A 22,304-nucleotide genomic window follows, 5' to 3' on the forward strand; every position below is an offset into this window, starting at 1 on the left:
AGTAAACAACTGCTTAGGAATGGGAAAAGCACCGCTATGAGGAAAGTGCACAGTTCCAGGACATAGATTTTGAGTATCTATTTTGGTTATGTAGAAGTCTTTTCCACTTATTTCCTCAACTGCACAGTACTTCCTTGAGTCTACTCATCAGGAGAAGAGGTTGCTGGATACTGAATTCTGGTCGATAAACACGTTTCTGTAGTTTACAAGTGAGTAACTGCAACATTTATCTTAATATTTTTCATAGAAAGTATTACCACTCATTAAATATTTGCTATGTGCCAGGCACTGTGCTAAACATTTTATATACATTATTTACTTAGCTCCTCACAACATGATGCAAGTATTATTAGCCCCATTCTAGATGAGAAAACAGAGGCAATTTGCTATTGAGTAATCTGCTTAAGACCATAGGGCTATTAAGAAGCATGGCCAGAACTCAAGTTCGCTGGATTTCAAAGCCAAACAATTTTACCTATTTTTATTAATATCTCTTGACCATGCAGGAAAGAGACAGCCAGGCCGGAACTCAAAACTTAGAAGACAGAGACACAGAGAGGGAATGAAAGCCACAGAGAGAGAAAATGAATCTCAAGAGGAGGACAGGACTGTAATAAGCCGTCAGTATTTAAAGATGCATAGATAGATCCTTCCTAGGAAATAATCAGGAAGACAAGTGACTCAAGTCATGCCATTCTGTCTGGAAAGCCAAAGCCTGCCAGTGTCCCTGGTAAGAGAGGTCCCCTGTCCTCCTCCCACACACTCACTGTGGGGCCCTCTCAGCACTATCTCTGCTTCCTACCTGGTCCACATTTTGGGTAGCCTTAATGGATTTCCCAATTTACTTCCCACAGGGGCCAATATTCCCTTTTATAGCTTGCTTTGGGGTCTTTACAGTTATTATTTAAGCTTGTTTAAAACACACATCATCTTCTTATTTGCAGACATCATGAAGTTAGAATCTTCCAGCAGAAGACTGAAATACTGTAACTGACAGTAACTGACCATCTGGAACACTATAAATGTCTTCTTTACTTCTTACTTTGTTTATTTGTTTGCTTGCTTGCTTTAAAAAAAAAAAGTAAAAGGAAAGATTTCAAGTTGTCTTTCTTTTAGCCCAAGATTTTGCTAAACATACGGTAGCACTATGATACGTTGTGTGGTGCTCTCTAGAACACTGAATATACAAACAGATGCTATAGGTGGATATGAAATAAGTCACACTAGGCATGCTGAAAGAGGTTATTTAAGAATGTGCTCATCAAGCATCAAGACACACCCTGTATCTTCTTAGACCCCTTCTCCTCCTTAGAACTCCTGGGAAAACTCCATTTCTTACCTTGTCCCCATTTCTTACATCGTCCCCACTTCTTACTGGGGAAAATCAGACGTAAACTTTGTATTTTAATAATTTGGTTCTAATCCATATTTAATCACATAAATGGGCCTCTGCTTTCTAAATTTCAAACAATCCCCTTTGATTTGGTTCTTTGAAGAATCTATGGTCATTGTGGAGGTATTTCAGGAAAAAAAATGTATTCTATAAAGTACCTACTGCAATGACTGAATTGAGAGGTAAATCCAATTATTTCATAAGCAAGGTATCTTAGCATTCTGATATAACACTCATGCCAGGGGAAATGTAAGCAGGACATTCAAAGCCTTTTGCGTTTTGATAAGATGAAATGTAAAGGGAACACAAGTATCCAAACTTTCTCAATTGGTGGCACATAAAAGTGCTTTACTGATGTGTAAATGTTTCTGTTGTTTACATAGTTGGGTTAGAGGGTGGCTTTCTGCTTTTCCACACTTCAAGAACGAGTTTTTTGGGCTGATTCCTCGATGAAAGGTAAAAGGTAACCATCCAGCTTGGGCTTCTAGTTCCCAGCAGATCAATAAGGAACAAAACTTGAGTCCCTTTTGACTCTGCTGTGGCCTGGTCCTCTTTGGAAGCCAATATTTAACAGTAGAGTGTATTCATCAGCTCAGTCTGTCCCTCAAGAAGAACTCGCCTTCCTTCTCTGTCCACCTATCAGCAAATCACCACTTCTCTCTCCTGACCTTCATCCCTACTCGCCTTACCAAAAACAACAGAACAACAGCTATGCCCTAAAACTGAGGGGAGACTTATAAGTTTTGTTTCTTGAAGCTCTTCTAATTACTAGAAGGTCTTCTCAAGGCCCTTTTCAAATTGCTGGAAGGCTCCAAAGATTCCAAACTTTCCATCTGCTGAAAATGAAGATTCTTTCACCCAAATCACTCAATTACTCTTTAAATTGAAAACAGAGATGACATTTTTCTAATCACCACCAGTCAGTCTGGATTGAGGTCGTCTCTGCCTTTTCACGGACATGTAAAGTCACTTGTGGGGTAAAACTCTTATCCATGAAGTTGTCTCTACCATTAAATGCCAAGACCTAGTAGCAAAACAGAAGTATAAACTTGCTTTTCTACAGAGTAAAATCCAAAAGCCACTGTGTGAAGTTACATATAGTGAGAGATGTGAAAAGTATACATTAAATTAACATTGAACACTCAGTTGTATTTGGACTTACGGTTTGCTTTTTTTTTTTCCCCGAGAAAAATTTCATCAAGGTAGAAGCCGATCTCTCTAGTATTTATTTTATAGAAGCGGAAAGAAAAGAAGTAATTATTGTACATATCAGCTGGCTCTACTGATGGTGCTGTTTCTCATATAAAACACAGCCCATTCTTTCTGCTTTTGGAAACCAGGAGCAGCCTTTCACCCACAGAGCTGTAACTTTTCAAAATCAACACTTCGTGGCTTTCCCATCTTCAAGACCTTCTGGAATAAACTCGATGCAGACAGTCTCTGCTGACCTTCACCACTTGTCAGACTAGCAAGGCTAGCAGAGTTTGTTGTGAGAATTTGGACCCTGACTCATCCACATTAAGGTTTTTGAACCCACTCTGGAACAGACCTGCCTTATGTCTCTCCTAGGCTATCAAAAGTTACAAGTTGTATTCCCTCTTTAAAAAGTAATTGAACTCATGAATATCAAAAGCTATAGACCAATTGAATCCATGTGAGATTATTCTCATCATAAAAAGGGTTTTCCTCTGCCCAGCCCACCTCACCACCACGATTCCCAGCACCTCCATCAAACAGGAAGGTCCATAAGGAAACATACCACAGCACCGCTCCTGGCATGAAGAGGCTGCTCAATAAATATCTGCTCCATGCATAAATGACATCCTAACTTTACAAAAGGATTTACTCAAAGTTTTCCTCATTTGTAAGAGCTTACACAGACCTCTGATATGTGCAACTGGTGTGCACACTGTTACTGGTGACTGACCCACACACAATTTTCAGAAACACATCCATGTGTCCACTAACCAGACCAAAAAAGATGTGTGAAAATAAGTGAATCAGACATATGAAACTTCCCAGATTAGACCTTTGCTTTTCAAAACTGGTGTGTATGAGAAGTGAATGAATTTGAGCAGCAAACAGACCTGAGTATGAATCACAACTTTGTTATCAAACAGGACTGATAATCACTCTAGCCTTGGCTTTCTAACAATGAAGGTGGGGATAATGCCTTTGAAGTTGCTGTCAGGAGTAACTACATCATTAAGTAGCTAACATAGTGCCTTATTGCATAGAAGACATGGAATAAAGGCCAGCTCCTGATATGTGCAACAGGTTCCCTGGATAACGTTGGCATCGCTCTACTTGCTGTTCTTGACAGAGGTTTTAGAAAGCACCATTCTGACACTTAAAACCCAGAGTGCTCCCTAATGAAGTACAGACTTCTCAGGCCACACAAGTCAGCTTGCCCAATTTGACATGTATGTGGAAAGATGTGCCCTAGGAATTAATCTCAGAGCAGGGAATTCCAATTTAGTTCAGAATACAAGGATATCCACAAAAACAGGAGCAGGAAAAAAAATCGTATTGCTGAAAAATGACTCTATTTCCTGCAAGGTCACCAGAGGCAGGGAATATACACAGCACAGGAGGCCTGTGTGGACCTGGCCTAGAATAGCCAAACACTTGTCAGGCAGTGCCAGGACTGCCCCAGATCTACCTATCCCACCAACTGCTGCTTCCTTTCTGGGAGAACCCATCCAATTTAAGTCTCAATTAGTATCAGTTTGAACCTAATATCTGCACATCTGTGTTGAGAGATGAACTGCAAATCTTTTAGTGCCAATTTTTCAGATACAGAATGAAAGGGATTTTATACCACACAGGCTATTTTTAATCTCAAAGGTTTCCAATCTTTTATGTAAATGGGTTAGGGCCAGCATGACTTCTACGAGCAACCGCAACAATAATGTTCATCTATGAATCCCTGAATAATACATTTTGGCATGCCTTTTCTCCAATATTAAAGCTTTCTGGAATATTTTCACTAGTCTGGAAGCAGGAAGAAGAACTCAGGATAGTAATCAATGAAGTCACTAAATGATTCAGCCCTAGTGGGCCATTCAGAACAAATTTTAGGGGTGTGTGTGTGTGTGTGTGTGTGTGAGTGAGAGAAAGAAACAGAGAGAGAATAAGAAAGAAGAGACATAGAAAAACATCTAAGACTCTCAGAAAGGATTTAATTTACTCTACTGCTCAGGGATATGACTTGAGCCCAGTTATCAAAATGGCCAAGAGTTTGCAAATCTGTCACACAGATTCTAGAGAAGTGCTTGGGATAGCCAACAAGGTTAGGGAGGGAGACAGCATACGTATTATTTACAATAAAACTTGCTAACAATGTCTATATGTAGTTAAATTGTCATGTCCTAGGATATAAACATAATTAAGGTGGGGAGGGGTATGGTTGATAGAATTAAGTTCCTAAAACAGCAGAGTTTTCTGTATTGTCTCAATATTTAAAAAGCATACTCAATGGCCAAGATTAGGCAGCTAATTCTATTTGTGATAATAAATATAACATAAGTCTGAATTTCTTCCCACATTTAAAGCTTTCAAACATTTAAAATGTATATTTCAGGTAATACATAAATGTCAATCTTAATCTTTTTTTTTTTTTTTTTTTTGAGATGGAGCTTCACTCCTGTTGCCCAGGCTGGCTGGAGTGCAACAGCACGATCTCTGCTCACTGCAACCTCCGCCTTCCAGGTTCCAGCAATTCTCCTGCCTCAGCTTCCCAAGTAGCTGGGATTATAGGCATATGCCACCACGCCCGGCTAATTTTGTACTTTTAGTAGAGACAAAGTTTCACCACTGCCCAGACTGGTCTCGAACTCCTGACTTCAGGTGATCCACCTGCCTTGGCCTCCCAAAGTGCTGGAATTATAGACGTGAGCCACCGCACCTGGCAATCTTAACCTTTCTTAATCTGCTTTTTGTGAACAGAAAGGCCTTTTCTGACTTAGCCTTGGAAACCTTGGAAGTCACACAGCATCACTCCCACGTATTTTCTTGGTCCAAGTGGTCACGAGCCCACCCAGATGCAAGGAGACATAGACCTCACCTCTCAATGGGAAGAGTGTCAACTAGTTTTGGTGCCATGTTTTGCAACTGCCGCAGTGGCTTTATTAATCTTTGCATTCTCTATAATCTTTGCAGATACTTTACTCTCCCATCAACCTGAGCACACACAGGCTTTGTACACAGTAAATGCTTTGGAAAGCATATCATGAATTATTTTCTCAAGGGGAAGGTACAGTATGATCACTAACTTGAAGGCACTCACAAAGGAATTTTCAAAGACATGTAGTGGGTGTGAGTGCTTAAACAAGGGTCTCTCTCTACCTAGGCACTTTTCAGACTGATTGAGTCATTTCTTAAATTTGCAAGAGAATGCAAACAAGCACTGTTCTGGAAAGAGAACTCTACCAGGAGCTCACTCTCCCAGTGTTAGAATGAAACGAATATGGATTTAAATCCTAACCCGGTCACTTCCAAGCTGGACTTTAAAATATATTACTTTACCTCTCTAAAATCTGTTTTCTCATTTTTAAAACAATAACAAATAATATCACCTATCTCATATTGCTGTGAGGATTTAATATGTAAATACCTATAAAAGATGAAGAGCAGAGCCAGGCACATAGTGGCACTCAATAAATATGTGTTGTTTTTGTATCATTATTACTATTTGAAGAGTCTTAGGCCACTCTCTAGTACATAGTAAGCATTGAGTTAATGTTAGCTATTAATGTAATTAGGACCCACTACCCTCGCTTTGTCTGGTTTCTATCTTCCTCTCTACCTCCCTATTGCAACCAAACATTGAAAGAGTTGCTGACGAATTTTATAATTTGACAGGTCAAACTTTCTGAACTTCTCATTCCTCCCTTCTTTATATTCTGAAAAAGGTGAAAAAGAACAATGGAAATACCACAAGATGGGTAGCTTTTAGAAAAATCAGGTTTTCTAAGTAGCTTGAATAACCACATAATCAATATGTGATTCTATCAGCTTCGACTTTACATGGGAAAAAAATTTCACCTTGATTATTGCAACTTCAAAACATTTCTGTCCCATAGTAGAAGGGGAAATGTGGAGTCTTTTGACTTGGTTGCACTATGCAGGGGCTGGCTTTTTCTCTAGTAGTCAAGATTGCGCCACTGCATTCCAGCCAGGGTGACACAGCAAGACTCTGTCCAAGAAGAAGGAGAAGGAGAAGGAGAAGGAGAAGGAGAAGGAGAAGAAGAAGAAGAAGAAGAAGAAGGAGGAGGAGGAGGAGGAGGAGGAGGAGGAGGAGGGGAAGGAGGAGAAGGAGGAGAAGGAGGAGAAGGAGGAGAAGGAGAAGGAGAAAGGAAGAAGAAGGAGGAGGAGGAGGGGAGGAGGAGGAGAAGGAGGAGAAGGAGAAGGAGAAAGGAAGAAGAAGGAGGAGGAGGAGGGGAGGAGGAGGAGGGGAGGAGGAGGAGGAGGAAGAGGAGGAGGAAGAAGAAGAAGAAGAAAAAGAAAGAAGAAAGAAGAAGAAGAAGGAGGAGGAGAAGGAGAAGGAGAAAGAAAGAAAGAAAAAGAAAGAAAGAAGAAGAAGAAGGAGGAAGAAAGAAGAAAGAAGAAGGAGCCGGGATGCATTTAGTAGCAGAAGGACTACAGAATAGAATACATAGTAAAATCATACCATGGAGAAAGATCGAACTGGAGTCCTTAAAAAAAAAAAAATCTAGGCTGGGCATGGTGGCTCACGCCTGTAATCCCAGCGCTTTGGGAGGCCGAGGCTGGCGGATTACCTGAGGTCAGGAGTCCCAGACCAGCCTGACCAAAATGGTGAAACCCTGTCTCTACTAAAAATACAAAAATTAGCTAGGTGTGGTGGTGCACACCTGTAATCCCAGCTACTCAGGAGGCTGAGGTAGGAGATTTGCTTGAACCCGGGAGGCACAAGTCGCAGTGAGCCAAGATCACACCACTGCACTCCAGGCTTGGAGACAGAGCGAGACTCCATCTCAAATAAATAAATAAATAAATAAATAAATAAAAATCTAAAAAAGAGCCAGACTCTAAGTTTTGTGAGGACAAGGACACTGTCTTGGTCACCACTGCATTTCTGATTCCAGCTTCAATATTTCCCACTTAGCAAGTGCTTCAGAAATACTTGTTGAATGAGTAGCATACATTCATGTTAAAATAAATGGTTGGGAAAAAATCTCTTCATATTTTAGCCCAAGTACTTTGGTTTTGAGGCCTACAGACAATCTCATTTTAATCTTTAGTAAGCCTGTTTTGCCATCATTAAAATGCTTCTCTTTGAAGGTGAGCTTACTTTTTCAGTTCACTGATGAAGATATTCAGAATAAAGTAGAACACACTCTAGAAGAACAAAAAGAGAAAAGCTTCAAAACTGAAAGCAGAACCCACAAAGAAAAGGCAGACAAACTGCCTTGTAGCATCTCTACAACTGACACCCAAGAACCGAAATGAAACTGAATTTGTTCAGCAAAGCCCAAGTCAGAATCATAAAAACTCCTCGAAATACTACAAATGGCACCTATGTGACAATGAACAGTTTTAAAGCCTCAACACTCAGTGGACAAATGCCTTCAGATGAGCCACTTCAGAAGGTAGGACTCCTACCTAAGGCAACTTCTTCATACTTTAGCTTATTATCTTTATTCGAACTTGATTGAGACTTGCACACACACAAATGACTTTTCCCCTCTCCCTTTGGTTAAGATAGTCATCCATTAAACATCATTAGGAAGTAGAAAGGCCCCTTCCCTCTCCAGAGGGGAACCTCCTCTGTGCTAATAACCACACAGCTAGGTCTGGCCTTGCAGCCACCTTGCAATGTGGCGCTGGGGTCTTCGTGGGCACTGCCAAACTTCCCACAGCAGATAATAATGTGCCACCTAAGGAGGAAGGCAGCATTTTTCTGCCCTGAACTCCAGCTTCCAGGATCACTCGCCTAGGTCTCATCTTCTGAAGCCTCCTTTGTCTATCGGATGCATACTGTGCACCTTGTCATTGTTGGGAGGACAAAAACAACTGGCGTTTCTCACAAGCTGTCTGAAAGAGCTGCTGCAGACGACCCATGTGTGCACAGACTCCGCACACACTCTCTCTCTTTCTCTCCCTCTCTTCCCCTCAGGAACACCATCTGAGAGAGCTGCATGGCTGCCCAGAACTTGTCCCATCCAGCTGACTCCACCAGCCTTTTCCTTCTTTAGCAAGGAAATGGATCTCCAGAAGACACATTCCTGCAGCTCCATGAAACCATCCAGGCACAGATACTTGCCCAGCTTTTTAATTTTACAGCTTTTACACTGAGGTGACACCCCTGTCCCCAGCCCTGCTATCGTGGACATTCCCATTAACCCTGTTAGTTTTAAATGTTAAAAACAGAGAACTCAAGACATCTACTTTTTTAATGTCAAGAAATGCAAAGTGGCCTATGATAATAAACATAAACACATACATAATAGCCCAGGACTTAAAAACAAATCCCTTCATTTCTTAGACCCACAGCCACATAGATCTCACAGTTTAAAAAAAAAAAAAAATCCACAGTGAAACGTATCAGCGTACATTCTCTTTCAGATCCAATACACAGAAAATCTTTACACTTATAATTTTACAGGGACCAGGATTAGAGAGAGAGAGAGAGAGAGAGAGAGAGAGAGAAGGCACGCATCTGCTTTATGTTCTCAGTGACCAGCTGAACAGATGGTCAAGAATATTGTTAGTTAAGAAAGCTCTCATTCATGATCAGAAAGTCCCTTGGGCAGGCTGGTGTGGGGTGCAAGAATGTCCTAGAATGTAATATTTGAAGAATGTGTTCATGTCTGAGATATGAACCCATGTGGTGGACGTGGGGGAGGAAGGGGGAGAACAGACAGCCTGTTGTGATCCAAAAAGCAACCACAAGTACCTCAACATTGGTTTGTCACCCAGACACTTCCGGCTTTCATTCCACCCACTCCCTCAACAGTATTAAAAGTGAAGAAAACCATTGATAGGTCTCAGTAGCTGCCATAATCCTTCCTTCTCTAGACATGAGTGCAGTCAGCCCTCCGTATTCATGGATTCTGCATCTGTGGATTCAACCAACAGATATTCCAAATATTTTCCAAATATTTGAAGGAAAAAATTATGACTGTACTGAACATGTACAGACTTTTTTCTTGTCATTATTCTCTCAACAATACAGTGTAACAACCATTCACATAGCATTTACATTGTGTTAGGTATTATAAGAAATCAAGGGATAACTTAAAGTATACAGGCCAGGCGTGGTGGCTCATGCCTGTAATCCCAGCACTTTGGGAGGCCAAGGTGGGCGGATCACCTGAGGTCAGGAGTTCAAGACCACCCTGACCAACATAAAGAAACCTCGTCTCTACTAAAAATTCAAAATTAGCCAGGCATGGTGGCGCGTGCCTGTAATCCCAGCTACTTGGGAGGCTGAGGCAGGAGAATCGCTTGAACCTGGGAGGCAGAGATTGTGGTGAGCCAATATCGTGCCATTGCACTCCAACCTGGGCAACAAGAGCAAAACTCCGTCTCAAAAAAAAAAAAAAAAAGTATACAGGAGGACGTCCGTAAGTTATATGCAAATACAACACCATTGTATATCAGGGACTTTAGCATCCCTGGATTTGGGTGTCTGTCAGGGGGTCCTGTAGCCATCCCCCATGGACACCAAGGGACAGCTGTACCTCACCAGTAGAAAAATATAAAAGGGAGGTAGAAGAGGATACGCTGCATGAAGTTGCCACTTCTTTGTCACTTCTTCTGGGCTAACACAGAAGATGTAAAAAGAAACAGGGGGTCCTATGTGTTCATCCCAATATGAGCATTTCCTGGGTGAAATTTCTCTAAATTTAAGTCGCCTCTCAACCTGACCAACAGAAAGTGTGTTTGTCTAGGGAGGGAGGAGGATGGCTGGTCATGAGCACTATAAAATCTATGGGAGAACTGGAAATCAACAAATCTGCAACCATCTGGCTTTCCATACCAATTTATATCCATGTTTTCTTTTTTTTTTTTTTGAGATACAGTCTCTCTCTGTCACCCAGGCTGGAGCGCAGTGGCAAGATCTTGGTTCACTGCAACCTCCACCTCCTGGGTTCAAGCAATTCTCGTGCCTCAACCTCCCAAGTAGCTGGGATTATAGGCGCCTGCCACCATGCCCGGCTAATTTTTGTATTTTTAGTAGAGACAGGGTTTCACCATGTCGGCCAGGCTGGTCTCAAACTCCTGACCTCAAGTGATCCACCCACGTAGGTCTCCCAAAGTGCTGGGATTACAGGCGTGAACCACCTCGCCCAACCCTTCACTTTTTCAACAAAATTTCTTATAGACTTCCATCAGAGAGACTCTGGTACTATAGATGAGTTCCCTGGTGTTTTGATCTTTCTCCCACCCTGCAGTGAGCACCTACTTCCTGGCTGTGAGGTATTGTGCCAGGCACCCACAGTATACAAGAGACATGAGATATGGGGATATCCATACCCTCCGCCTGCCATTTTGGGGACAGGGGGTGTATGTGAGTCAAGCAACATTCACAGCTTCTAAAGCTAGAAAAAATAGTCTTCAAAATAATCCATATGTTGCTTTTTGCAACTCATTTTAGTGCCTTGATTGGAAAGTTCTGAGGAGGATATTAATGAGAAACTGGGGTCACCAAAATCAAACAGGAGGCCTGGTTTGGAGCAGGGAGCAAAGTAATCAGAAAGAGGACACGTGGCCAGGTGTGGTGGCTCATACCTGTAATCCCAGCACTTTGGGAGGCCGAGGCGGGCAGATCACGAGGTCAAGAGATCAAGACCATCCTGGCCAACATGGTGACACCCCATCTCTACTAAAAATACAAAAATTAACCGGGCATGGTGGCGCTCACCTGTAGTCCCATCTACTCGGGAGGCTGAGGCAGGACAATAGCTTAAACACGGGAGGTGGAGGTTGCTATGAGCCAAGATTGTGCCACTGCACTCCAGCCTGGCGAGAGAGTGAGACTTCGAAAAAGAAAGAAAAAGAAAGAAAGAAAGAGAGAGAGAAAGGAAAGAAAGAAAGAGAGAGAGAGAGAAAGAAAGAGAAAGAAAGAAAGAAAGAAAGAAAGAAAGAAAGAAAGAAAGAAAGAAAGAAAGAAAGAAAGAGGACATGTGTACTATGAGGGAGAGGGTCATTATTCATCCCCAGCTATTCCCCAGCTTCTTCCTTCCTTGTACCTACCAGCAACCCCCTGGTCCTTTGAAAACATATAAGGCAGAATCCTCAGCTGCCACCACAAATGACCTCGGAAGGGTCAGCTAACAGCAACAGTCATACAGGTTGAACATTTTTAATTTAAAAATCTAAAATCTGAAATGCTCCAAAATCTGAAACTTTGTGAGTGCCAACATGATGCCCCACGTGGAAAATTCTGCACCTGACCTCATGACAGGTCGCAGTCAAAATACAAGCACACAACATGCAGTCTATTCCGCATCCCAGCTCTTCTGGTGATGCTACTGTGCTGCTTAGTTACCCTGAGCACATTAGTTTTCACTGTATTCATAGTATGTCATATTTTAGTGTTAAGTACTTATGTGTGTAAGTGTAAGAAAATGATTGCTTATAGGGGCCATATAAATTCACAGTCAGGAATGACGGTGATGCCAAACAACCACAGATGGCCCACATGGATGGCTGAGATAGTGACTCCTTTGCTTTCTGATAGTTCAATGTACACAAACTTTGTTTCATGCACAAAGTTATTAAGAATATTGTATAAAATTACCAGGCTATGTGTACAAGGTGCATATGAAGAATAAATGAATTTCGTGTTTAGAATTGGGTCCCAGTCCCAAGATATCTCATTATATATATGCAAATATTCCCAAATCCAGAAATATCCAAAATCTAAAACACTTCTGGTCCCAAGCATTTTGGATTAGAGATACTCAACCTGTAGTTTACTTTACTGAACGCTTATGATAGACTCAGCACTGTTAAGTGCTTTAGATCTATCATCTCATTTAATGCTCATAACATTTCTGTGAGGCAGGTTATTAGTGCCAATTTATCCATAAGAAGGCTGAAGTTTGGGAAATTTAAGCTATTTGGCCAAGGTCACATTGCTAGCAAGTGGCAGAGACAGGAATTTGTTCCAGGTTATGTCTCCTTCCAGTGTCAAGGTACTTTTCACCTGTCTGAGATTTTCCAAAATTAACTGCATTAAAGAATTAAGAAAAAAGTAAAATATAGATGTGTAGAAAAAAACAAGTTAACAAAATGCAAGTCTCTTGTGCTCTTAACATCAAAATCTAGATGTTTAGCAATTAATGAGTTCGCTAACCAATTTTCCTCATAGAGCGTTATAAAGAACATATATGTATGTGCACTTTATATATTTTAAAGCACAATGTGAAAGTTAAACATAGATACATATTATTTTATTTTATTTTTAGAGATAGGATGTCACTCTATCACCCAGACTGGAGTGCAATGGTGCTATCATAACTCACTGCAGCCTGGAACTCTTGGGCTCAAGCAATCCTCCCACCTCAGCCTCCTAAGTAGCTGGGACCATGGGCACACATCACCATGACTGGCCAATTTCAAATTTTTTTTGTAGAGATGACGTCTCCCTATGTTGCCCAGGCTAGTCTTTTTTGGGGGTGGGGGCGGAGGGGGACAGGGTCTCTCTCTGTCGCCCAGGCTGGAGTGCAGTGGTATGATCTTGGCTCACTGCAACCTCTGCTTCCCGGATTCAAGCGATTCTCCCACCTCAGCCTCAAGAGTAGCTGGGACTACAGGCATGCACCACAACAACCAGCTAATTTTTTGTCTTTTTAGTAGAGATGAGGTTTTGCCATGTTGGCCAGGCTAGTCTCGAACTCCTGGTCTCAAGGGATCCACCTGCCTTGGCCTCCCAAAGTGCTGGGATTACAGGCGTGAGCCACCACACCCAGCCTCCCTATGTTGCCCAGGCTGGTCTTAAACACCTGGCCTCAAGTGATCGTCCTGCCTCAGCCTCCCAAAGCCCTGGTATTAAAGGCATGAGCCACCACACCTGGCCCATTTATATATATATAATATAATATAAAAGTTATTATTTATTCTTTCTAGGAATATTCCCTCTCTATCCCCCAACCAAGGTCTGTGAAGATCAAATAAGATATTATGGGGACTAAGGATGCTCCCTTAGATATTTTCTCCAATATATTTTTAAGTTACCATTTTAATTTTGTACGTTCAAAGTGAAAATGCATTTTTTTGTAAAACAAGAGCAATAAAGCTCAGGCAAACTTCCTGGCTGGTGGAGATCTCAGGATAAGGTGTGAGCACGAAAAGGAGACAAATGAGACTTTTGTGGTTGAAATGAAAAAACTCTCCTCCATCCTGTACTGACTCTGCAGTTTTCTCCTGTCTCTTCAAAGTCTTAGGCTCCAGGCCCCTGGAAGTCCTGCTTCACCTATGCCTACTTCTCTTGCTGCCATTTGGTTTGCCTGATTTATTGAGGCTTCCAGAAAGTGCCTTTTCTTAGCTGCTGATTCTGAGCTAGTATTTGGCCTCTTTAACACATGGGCCTTTGTGTGGACACCATCTTTCCCTGAAACCTGTCTGCATCTTTTCTGTCCCTTCTAACCATCCAGTTTGTTCTTCCCCAAGATGGGCTGCCACAAGTTGCCATTTCCTGACTGGTGCATGGTTCCAGACAGCTCGCGGGCAGACACAGGGAAGGAATCTTATCTCGTTTTTGTTTTTTTGTTGTTGTTTTTGTTTTTTTCTTTTTTGTTGTGGTTGTTGCTGTTGTTTTGAAACGGAGTCTCACTCTGTTGCCAAGGCTGGAGTGCAGTGGCGCAATCTCGGCTCACTGCAACCTCCGCCTCCAGGGTTCAAGCAATTCACTCTGCCTCAGCCTCCCAAGTAGCTGGGATTACAGGCGCCCGCCACCACACCTGGCTAATTTTTGTATTTTTGGGGTTTCGCCATGTTGGCCAGGCTGGTCTTGAACTCCTGACCTCAGGTGATCCACCCACCTCAGCCTCCCAAAGTGCTGGGATTACAAGCATGAGCCACCGCACCTAGCAGGAATCCTATCTCCAACAAACATTTTCAAGTTCTTTAACCTGAAATGCCATAGAGAATCATTCTTGATCTCTCCATGTCTAAGCAGGAATCTTATCAACATAACTTACAAAATCAATGTTTCTGATTCATACAAAACTTCCCCCATCAGTACTGCCATAAAAGGAAGCAGAGGGTTGTTCCCTCCTCACCCAACAAAATCTTGCAGCCCCGCATCAAAGGCAGCCCTGAAGCATCACTCCACTGGGAAGGCCAATGCTTTCTTCCATCACGTTGCCCCCTTCTCAATACAACATTGAATTTTCGAGCCAAACAGATTAGAATTCAAATTCCAACTATCATAAAGTTCTGTGACCACTAAACCACTCCAAGCCTCAGTTCACTTATCCTCAAAGTGGGGCTGATGATAGATAGTAACTATCTTACAGTTGCGGTGGGGTTTGAGAGGCAGAATATATATCAAATCTTTGCACAGAGAACATAGAAGTAGGCTAGTATTATTTACCAAGGTAGCCACTATCCCTTTCTGAGCAAAGCAGGGTTAAAAATAAAGAGAGGGGCCGGGTATGGTGGCTCACGCCTGTAATCCCAGCACTTTGGAAGGCCGAGGTGGGCGGATCATGAGGTCAGGAGTTCAAGACCATCCCAGCCAACATGGTGAAACCCTGTCTCTACTAAAAATACAAAAATTAGCTGGGCATAGTGGCGGGCACCTGTAGTCCCAGCTACTCGGGAGGCCCAGGCAGGAGAATCGCTTGAACTCAGGAGGCAGAGGTTGCAGTGAGCCGAGATCGTGCCAATGCACTCCAACCTGGCAACAGAGCAAGACTCCGTCTCAAATAAATAAAAAAATAAATAAATAAATAAATAAATAAAGACAGGTTTTTCTGTTCCCAAACACTTCTGGAAATGAATCAGTCGCAACAGTCTTTCCTAGAAGTTAAGTCCTCCCTTCTTCACTCCCTGTCCTTGTAACAGGGTCTGAAAACAACAGGGATAAAAAGTATAGGCAAAGGACAAGAAGGCACCATAGCTCTAGCACCAAGGAAAAGGCATCAGATGTTTTGGTTTTAAGAAAAAAAATCACCCTCTCCCATACTAATAATTTCCAACTTTATCAAGCTACTAAACAGGAGCCGTACGACCCTTGCTTTACTTTAGAAATGGGAGAATGCTAGAGAAAAATAGGACTCTTTTAATCATTACTATTTGTATTACACTTTATGCCTCCCACACAGAGCTTTGAGGAAAGCTACAAGAGCTCAGGGCTGTTAATGTGACACCAGCGATGTTGTGGTAATCAGAGAAGGCCACTCCAAGCTTCTCTGCTTTCAGGGATCTCACTTGCCACAGGATGGGGGAGGGTGGGGCTGGAGGAGGGAGCCTGGGCGGAAGACCCAGAACTCCCTGAAGGTTTGATGAGCAATCTGTGCCTTCAGAACAACAGTAAAATGATGGAAAGCTAAAGATTCCTGGAAAAGAGGGACTAGAGCAAGAATTGACAAGGCAGGCATAAAAATGAAAAGAAAGCTAGAGAGTCAAAGAAATTAAGCTTTGTCTCCAGCTCCCATTGCCAGGATGAAAGGAACTTCTCCGTGCCGGACTCCAAGAAAAGGGACTCACCCTCCCAGCTCAGCACAAACTCCCAGGGCCCACCATGAGGGCTGGAAAGGAAAGGAAACAGAGGGGTCATTTCCAACCACCAGGCCTTAGAGACCATTGTCACAGGAGGAAAAAGAGGCAGCAGACAGAGAGAGAAAGTCTGGGTGGGTGTTAAATTATAATTATGTCTACAATGGTATATGAAAAACCTCGCAGGTCTCTGCTGATACAGATATGGGAAGTCCACCTTCTGAATCCCATGCTGGAGTTGATAAGAAGGAAGGCAAAAGCAGGAATCAAGAGCTCAGTGCCTTCTTTTATACAGTGCCCACCACTGGTAAGGAGACCTCTGACTCAGTTTCCAGAAAGGAAGGTAACCTCTTCAGCCATGATAGTCAACCGACTTTTTAAAAAAGGAATTTTAAATTAGGGAAAATTAGATTTGTGAATGAACATCCTTCTGAAAGGAGGAAACATGAAGCAAATTATAGTTCTATTAATTAATTAATTAATTTAAAAAAAATTTTTTTAGATGGAGTCTTGCTCAGTTGCCCAGGCATGGAGTGCAGTGGCACAATCTCGGCTCACTGCAACCTCCGTCTCCCAGGTTCAAGAGATTCTCCTGCCTCAGCCTCGAGAGTAGCTGGGATTACAGGCACCCACCACCACACTCTGCTAATTTTTGTATTTCTAGTAGATATGGAGTTTCACCACGTTGGCCAGGATGGTCTCAAACTCCTAACCTCAAGTGATCTGCCCGCCTCAGCCTCCCAAAGTGCTGGGATTACAGGCGTGAGCCACCACACCTGGCCATAGTTCTACATATTTATATTTTTCCTCCTTGCATTGGGAAACTAAAGAGTAAACAACTCCCATCCCCCCAAAAATCCTAAGAATACTAAAAAGCATTTAGTCAAGGTCTAACCATATATAAGAAAGTAGTTAATATTTCCCAAATGACCCCAGACCAAAGACTGAATTCTGCATTACTAATACCATGACCTTCTTATTTAGTGCCATTTATAGGCATTCAAAGCCAAAGAGAGGAAGTCAGCAATATATTAATTTTCTTAATTGTTATGTAAATGTCTCAGACTGACCTGTAAAATGTATGTACTCATAGAAGGTGTAATTCACTCTAAGATACAAACTTACTCTCTAAAATTGCAGTTGGTAAGCACTCAACATGGAGTTGAGAAAATGTTTACAAAATGCAAGACAGGTGTTTGGATTTATTTCAAATGTATTAATAAAAAATACGATACTCCCTTGAATGATGAATACGGAGTGTATGGCAGTTAATTTTGGGAAAAAGAAGTGCATGTAATCACTTACATTTTTGAAGTGAAGGTTAATCTGCAGGAAACGGGAAGTTAAGATGTGTAATTAACCCAAAGGTACACAATAGAAAGAATGGGAGGCAAAGACTAAAGAGGGAGCTTGAAGGAGCTAGCACAGAAATGCCTGCAGAAAAGGCAAACAGCTGAAATGTCTCTTCTTTAGGCTTTTTCACTCATTTAACCATCACAGACAGGAGCTCTACTCATGGGTCTGAATGTGCCCAAAGATGGTGTTACTCAAAGCATGGTGTCTGGACTTGGTTCTCATCCTTTAAACGGTAATGTTCCACACCCACAGGGCACAGAAATTTAAAAGTGCATGGTGAGAGGCCCACAGCAATCTGTAATTAAAGGAACATTCGAGCACATGATCACTTTTCTAGTAGTACATTTTTATTGTATTTTCTAAATGTAACAGTGAGAAATGGATTGGAAATAGAAGGAGAAGAAACTGGTCTTTCACCATAGGAAGTTTGCAGAGCACCTCTAAAAAACCTACCCTCTAAAATTGCAGTTGGTAAGCACTCAACATGGAGGTAAGAAAATATATGAAAACTTCCCGTTGTTCGGTTTCCACTCCAACTTATGTTTTCCCAATGCAGAGGCCTGCCTGGTTAGTATAGAAACTGATGAAAAAAGGCAGCAATGATGGCTATTTTTGCCTGAAACACTGATTCCACTAAAACCAACACCTGGCTTTATACTGTTGTGCTATTCCACATAAGGTAAAATCCCACTCAATCTTTTTGCTTGTTTGTATATAAAAAGAAATTCTGAATTGAGCAGGCGTCTATATAGAAAAATGGAATCCATAGTTTTAATTATTAAATATAGCCAAATATTTACACATCATTAAACACAAAATATATGAGCTGTTAGGTGGGTTCTTCCCCCTAACCCCCATGCCTTACTATGAAGGAAAATGTTACAATGCATAGACCACATTGCATTCTCTCACGTCTACTTTACTTTCTGTTTGAATATCTGTGGTTATAGCAACATCACTTTTTATCTGCTAAAAATATTTTAGGCTTCCTCTGCCTAGATTTTTCCCTCTGGAATTCTGTTTATAAGAGGTATGGGTATAAAAAAGAAAATAACATGTCTTTGTCAGGAGATTAAACACATTAAAAAAAAAACAAATATACATACACATTTGTACATGAACACAAAATGTAAACACACATCTACAACCTACACCCGAAGTTCCACAAGCAAAATCCTCATTAACTCACTGTCTTATCACTGAGAAGAAAAATAGTATATCCAAGGACCATAAGACAACACTCTCCTTATTTACCAATATCGTGCTTACTGAAATAAAGCTTTTTAGGTACTTCCTTGGTTATATTAAGCAAGTTGCTTTCAAGTTCAATAACATAAATGCAAAATTCACTAAATATGCAGGCATTGGTTGGCTGAAGAAGAGAGAGCACTGGGATTGGCTGAGCTAAGGGAGAAATAGATGAGGGAGGAATAAGTCAACAGTGCCCCAATTTGAGAAATTCTGTGAGTAAACATTGAAGTCTCATTGGCATGATTTTATCTAATGGCTTTAATATGTAGCCGCTGCTACAAATGCTGGGGTCATCTAATGGGGAGGGTAGGAAACAGACCTCACACTGCACAACACCAGAGGATGTGAACCGTCTAGGCTGCCCGTAGATCTCCATAAACAAGGCCTCTTCCCATCAAAGGCCACTGTGGAATGTAGCTGGAGTTGTTTATGCTTCTTTCTTTTTCTATTAGGTTTATTTTCCTGATGTTAAACCCTGTCAACTTTACTGCCCAGAAACCTATCTTCAGAATAGGACCTTCTGCTTTGAAGACTCCTTTTAAGAAATGTCAAGGGGCAGTAAACATAAAATAGGATCCATAGCACCACCAATGACACAAAAACAGGGCCAAAGCTAATCAGTCTCCTCCATAAAACACACACTCAGTCTTTTCTCCCTCTCACACACAGTAGCAGACCAATAAGATCTGCGGAGTGAATGTAAGCAACAGAGTAGGAAGCAGCTGAAAAGAAAGAATTCCTGCTGCGTTCTCCCCTTGTGCCTCTTTCACAGTCAAAGGGTTCAAGGGAAGAATGTTTTATTGCACACTGCTGTTCACCACTAGCAGTGCAAGTTTATTCTGCCCAGGGGCTCAAGTGGGACGAATCTGGTCATCTCCATATGTTCTCATAGTGAAATTCTTCTCGTTTTCCTTTCATTTTTCAGGCCTCGTCTAATTTAAAACAAACCACACAGACACACTGGCCAAAGCAGCGACTGCCTCTGAGAGGAAGGTGGGCCTGCAGTACTGGCTGGGACCACCTCCACATCTGAAGATGCTGTTTGCCTGTATTTGCTTCCCAGCGTCCTTCCTCCCTGCCTGGTTGCCTGTTGGGCCTAACATGGAGCTCTGCCCACAGTAGTGTCGTTACTATGGCCACTAGCCCATACCAAGGCATGGCCTTTGCAGTCCCCAGCATACAGCTCCCGACCTCACAGGCAAGTCCATCTCTATTGCTGTCAGGAAGTAAAAGTTCACACGGGGCGGGCACAAAGTCCTGCTCATCCCAAGGCACCAACGCACCCCCACCAGGCTTTCCCCAGAAGGCAACTCAACCACTCTAGGATTTTTTTTTTTTTTAAATAAACTGTATTAGGAGCTTGTCAGAAATCCCGAAGTTGGAGACCACTGTGAAACTCCTGGGTCCCACCGGGGCTGAGCTCGTACCAGTAGCCCTAAATTCAAAAAGAACCAGGGAAGGTTCTATTTACAAGTGAACTGGACTCATGATGCTCCACCAAGGAGGCAATCCCTGAAAACAGGCAAGGTTCATCAGCAACTCTAACCGCTCAGGGTGTGCTATTACTACTTTTTGAAAACAATCGTCTGATTATACAAACATGTATATAGTGCTTAACAGTTTACTCTGTATTCTTTCTATGAATAGTTTCATGTTTACAACAAATCTAGGAGGGAAAAGGATAGAAATTATTATCTCCATTTTATGGAAAAGAATCGAAGGCTCAGAACCTAGCTAGTAAGTAAAGAACCGCAAATAAAGCTCAGGTCTTGTCTGTCTCTTTCCACTACATTACAGCTCACCTTCTGAAAGAAGCTTCATCTTTGTGGCATCTGTAAAACATTTCCCCTATCTTTCCCCACATTGCCCACTCCTCTTAGGTGCTGGAAGAAAATGCCCACTACTTTTACACATATAACTAATACATGGTTGCTGCTCTGCAAATGATTTCTGAATAAATGAGCACTCCCATGCATGCCATTCCAATGCACAGTCACCCTTCTTGCCCTGGGCCAGATTTAGGGAGGTCAGGAGCATCTAATATGGAATCTTAAGTAGTCAGAAAAACAGGAAGGAATACAGATGGATATGTTCCTTGTTTGCACATAAATGCTATTTGGGCTTCTCAGACCTGACACTTGAGCCTTTCCTGAACCGTGTGCTTTTCCTAACATGCAGGTCTGCCTGTCAAATTTATGACATCATGCTACCATCCACTTTTCTGGCAACTCCAGTTATTCTTTAGTTTTACCTCTCAGTCTAACCAGAAGGTTCCCCTAAGTTTCCCCTGTATTAACTAGGCCAATTGATGTTTTGCCAACAGCAGGGTCTGGGTATTTTATTTTGTTTTAGATCCACTTGCCATTCTCTACCTCTCTCCCAGGCAGTTTACAAGCATTTGGCCCACTCCACTCCTCCTCCAGGCCTTAAGTTCGCCCCAACACACTGACTCCTGTAGGCTACAGAAAAGCCCAACGGCAAAAGAAACACCCTAGATTGAAACACACACGCGCGCACACACACACACACACACACACACACACACACACAGAGAGAGAGAGAGAGAGAGAGAGAGAGAGAGAGAGAGAATAATGGAACTCACCCTCCTGCCAGCAGAGAATGGCCAACCCCATCTCCCCAGTTCTGGTTATTTCTAGAAATCTGAAATCTATAATATGTCACCATCACTTAGCACTCAGTAAGTATTTATTGGATGAATGCATGAATGAATGATTACTATTATCTGATAATATGCACGTGAGAGAAACTTTATCAAACGCTTTCTGAAAATCTAAATTACTAGACAAGCAAAGGGCCGATGACTACTCAGGGATTTACCCTTTAGTGGCAGACACAACTTTACAGCCAGGCCTACTTGTCTTGTTACAATCACTTAAATATTTTATTTGTTTACAAAACTCTTCTCAACTATTTTTGATGGTTTGTTGCCACGTGCACAACCTAATGTGCACGTATACACAGGGAATGAAGGTATGAAACCTGGCACACTGCCACCCTAAATATCAGGCAGGCTCCTCAAAGACAACAGTAATGCTGTGTATTTCTTTATACATTTTCACTACTAGATCAGCCATTTGAAGGTTTATTTATTCCTAAATTCTTCAACTTCCTGTATCTGAGTATTTATGTCTCAGATTTCCCCATTACCTCCTTTCCCACCACTTTATTCCTAATATTCCACTTTTCACCTCGTTACTATGAAGCACGACCTAACGCCAGCATTTATTTCCTGACCTCCAAAATGAAACGACTCATAAACAAAACAAACAAAATGGAAAAAATTTTAGCAACTATTTTTGGGCCCCAGAAACAAAACTTACTTTTCCAAAGAAAGAGAATCCTTTAACCTACTTTGAGGACTAACAAATGACTTGAACACATTGTGTTCAAGGTTTTGTCAAACGATGGGAAAAATACAAAGGTCTAGTATTTAAAATACTACCTTTTTTTCCCCTACAATGCATCACCCTAGTCCAATGTAACCTTAAAAACATCGGGGGGCGGCAGGGGAGGATAGCTATAACGGTTTACATTGGGTTATAGTCCTTGTTGTGGCTGCTGTTGCTATCATTTGGTGATAATTTGGAAA

At 41.9% G+C, this 22,304-nt stretch overlaps 1 protein-coding gene and 1 long non-coding RNA gene across 4 annotated transcripts in view, besides 1 other annotated feature; one reads left to right on the plus strand and one right to left on the minus strand.

Moving 5' to 3' along the window:
* The window catches only part of LOC124900783 (uncharacterized), a 52,131-nt gene extending 51,090 nt beyond the window's left edge, over positions 1-1,041 (plus strand). The window contains exons 2-3 of the long non-coding RNA XR_007058278.1: positions 507-620; positions 945-1,041. This is a non-coding gene — a long non-coding RNA (uncharacterized LOC124900783). The remainder of the gene's footprint in view (positions 1-506; positions 621-944) is intronic.
* Positions 1-22,304, minus strand: part of MAML3 (mastermind like transcriptional coactivator 3) — a 437,432-nt gene that overhangs the window by 345,972 nt on the left and 69,156 nt on the right. The window lies entirely within an intron of this gene.
* Positions 15,865-16,364: an enhancer, noted in NCBI's record as "NANOG-H3K4me1 hESC enhancer chr4:140999743-141000242 (GRCh37/hg19 assembly coordinates)". NCBI's record gives its function as "activates a minimal SCP1, AML or CMV promoter by ChIP-STARR-seq in naive H9 embryonic stem cells {active_cell/tissue: H9 hESC(naive)}" and the evidence as "EXISTENCE:reporter gene assay evidence [ECO:0000049][PMID:30033119]".

This window comes from Homo sapiens, chromosome 4 (genome assembly GCF_000001405.40).
Source record: "Homo sapiens chromosome 4, GRCh38.p14 Primary Assembly".
In the NCBI taxonomy this organism is placed as follows: Eukaryota; Metazoa; Chordata; class Mammalia; order Primates; family Hominidae; genus Homo; species Homo sapiens.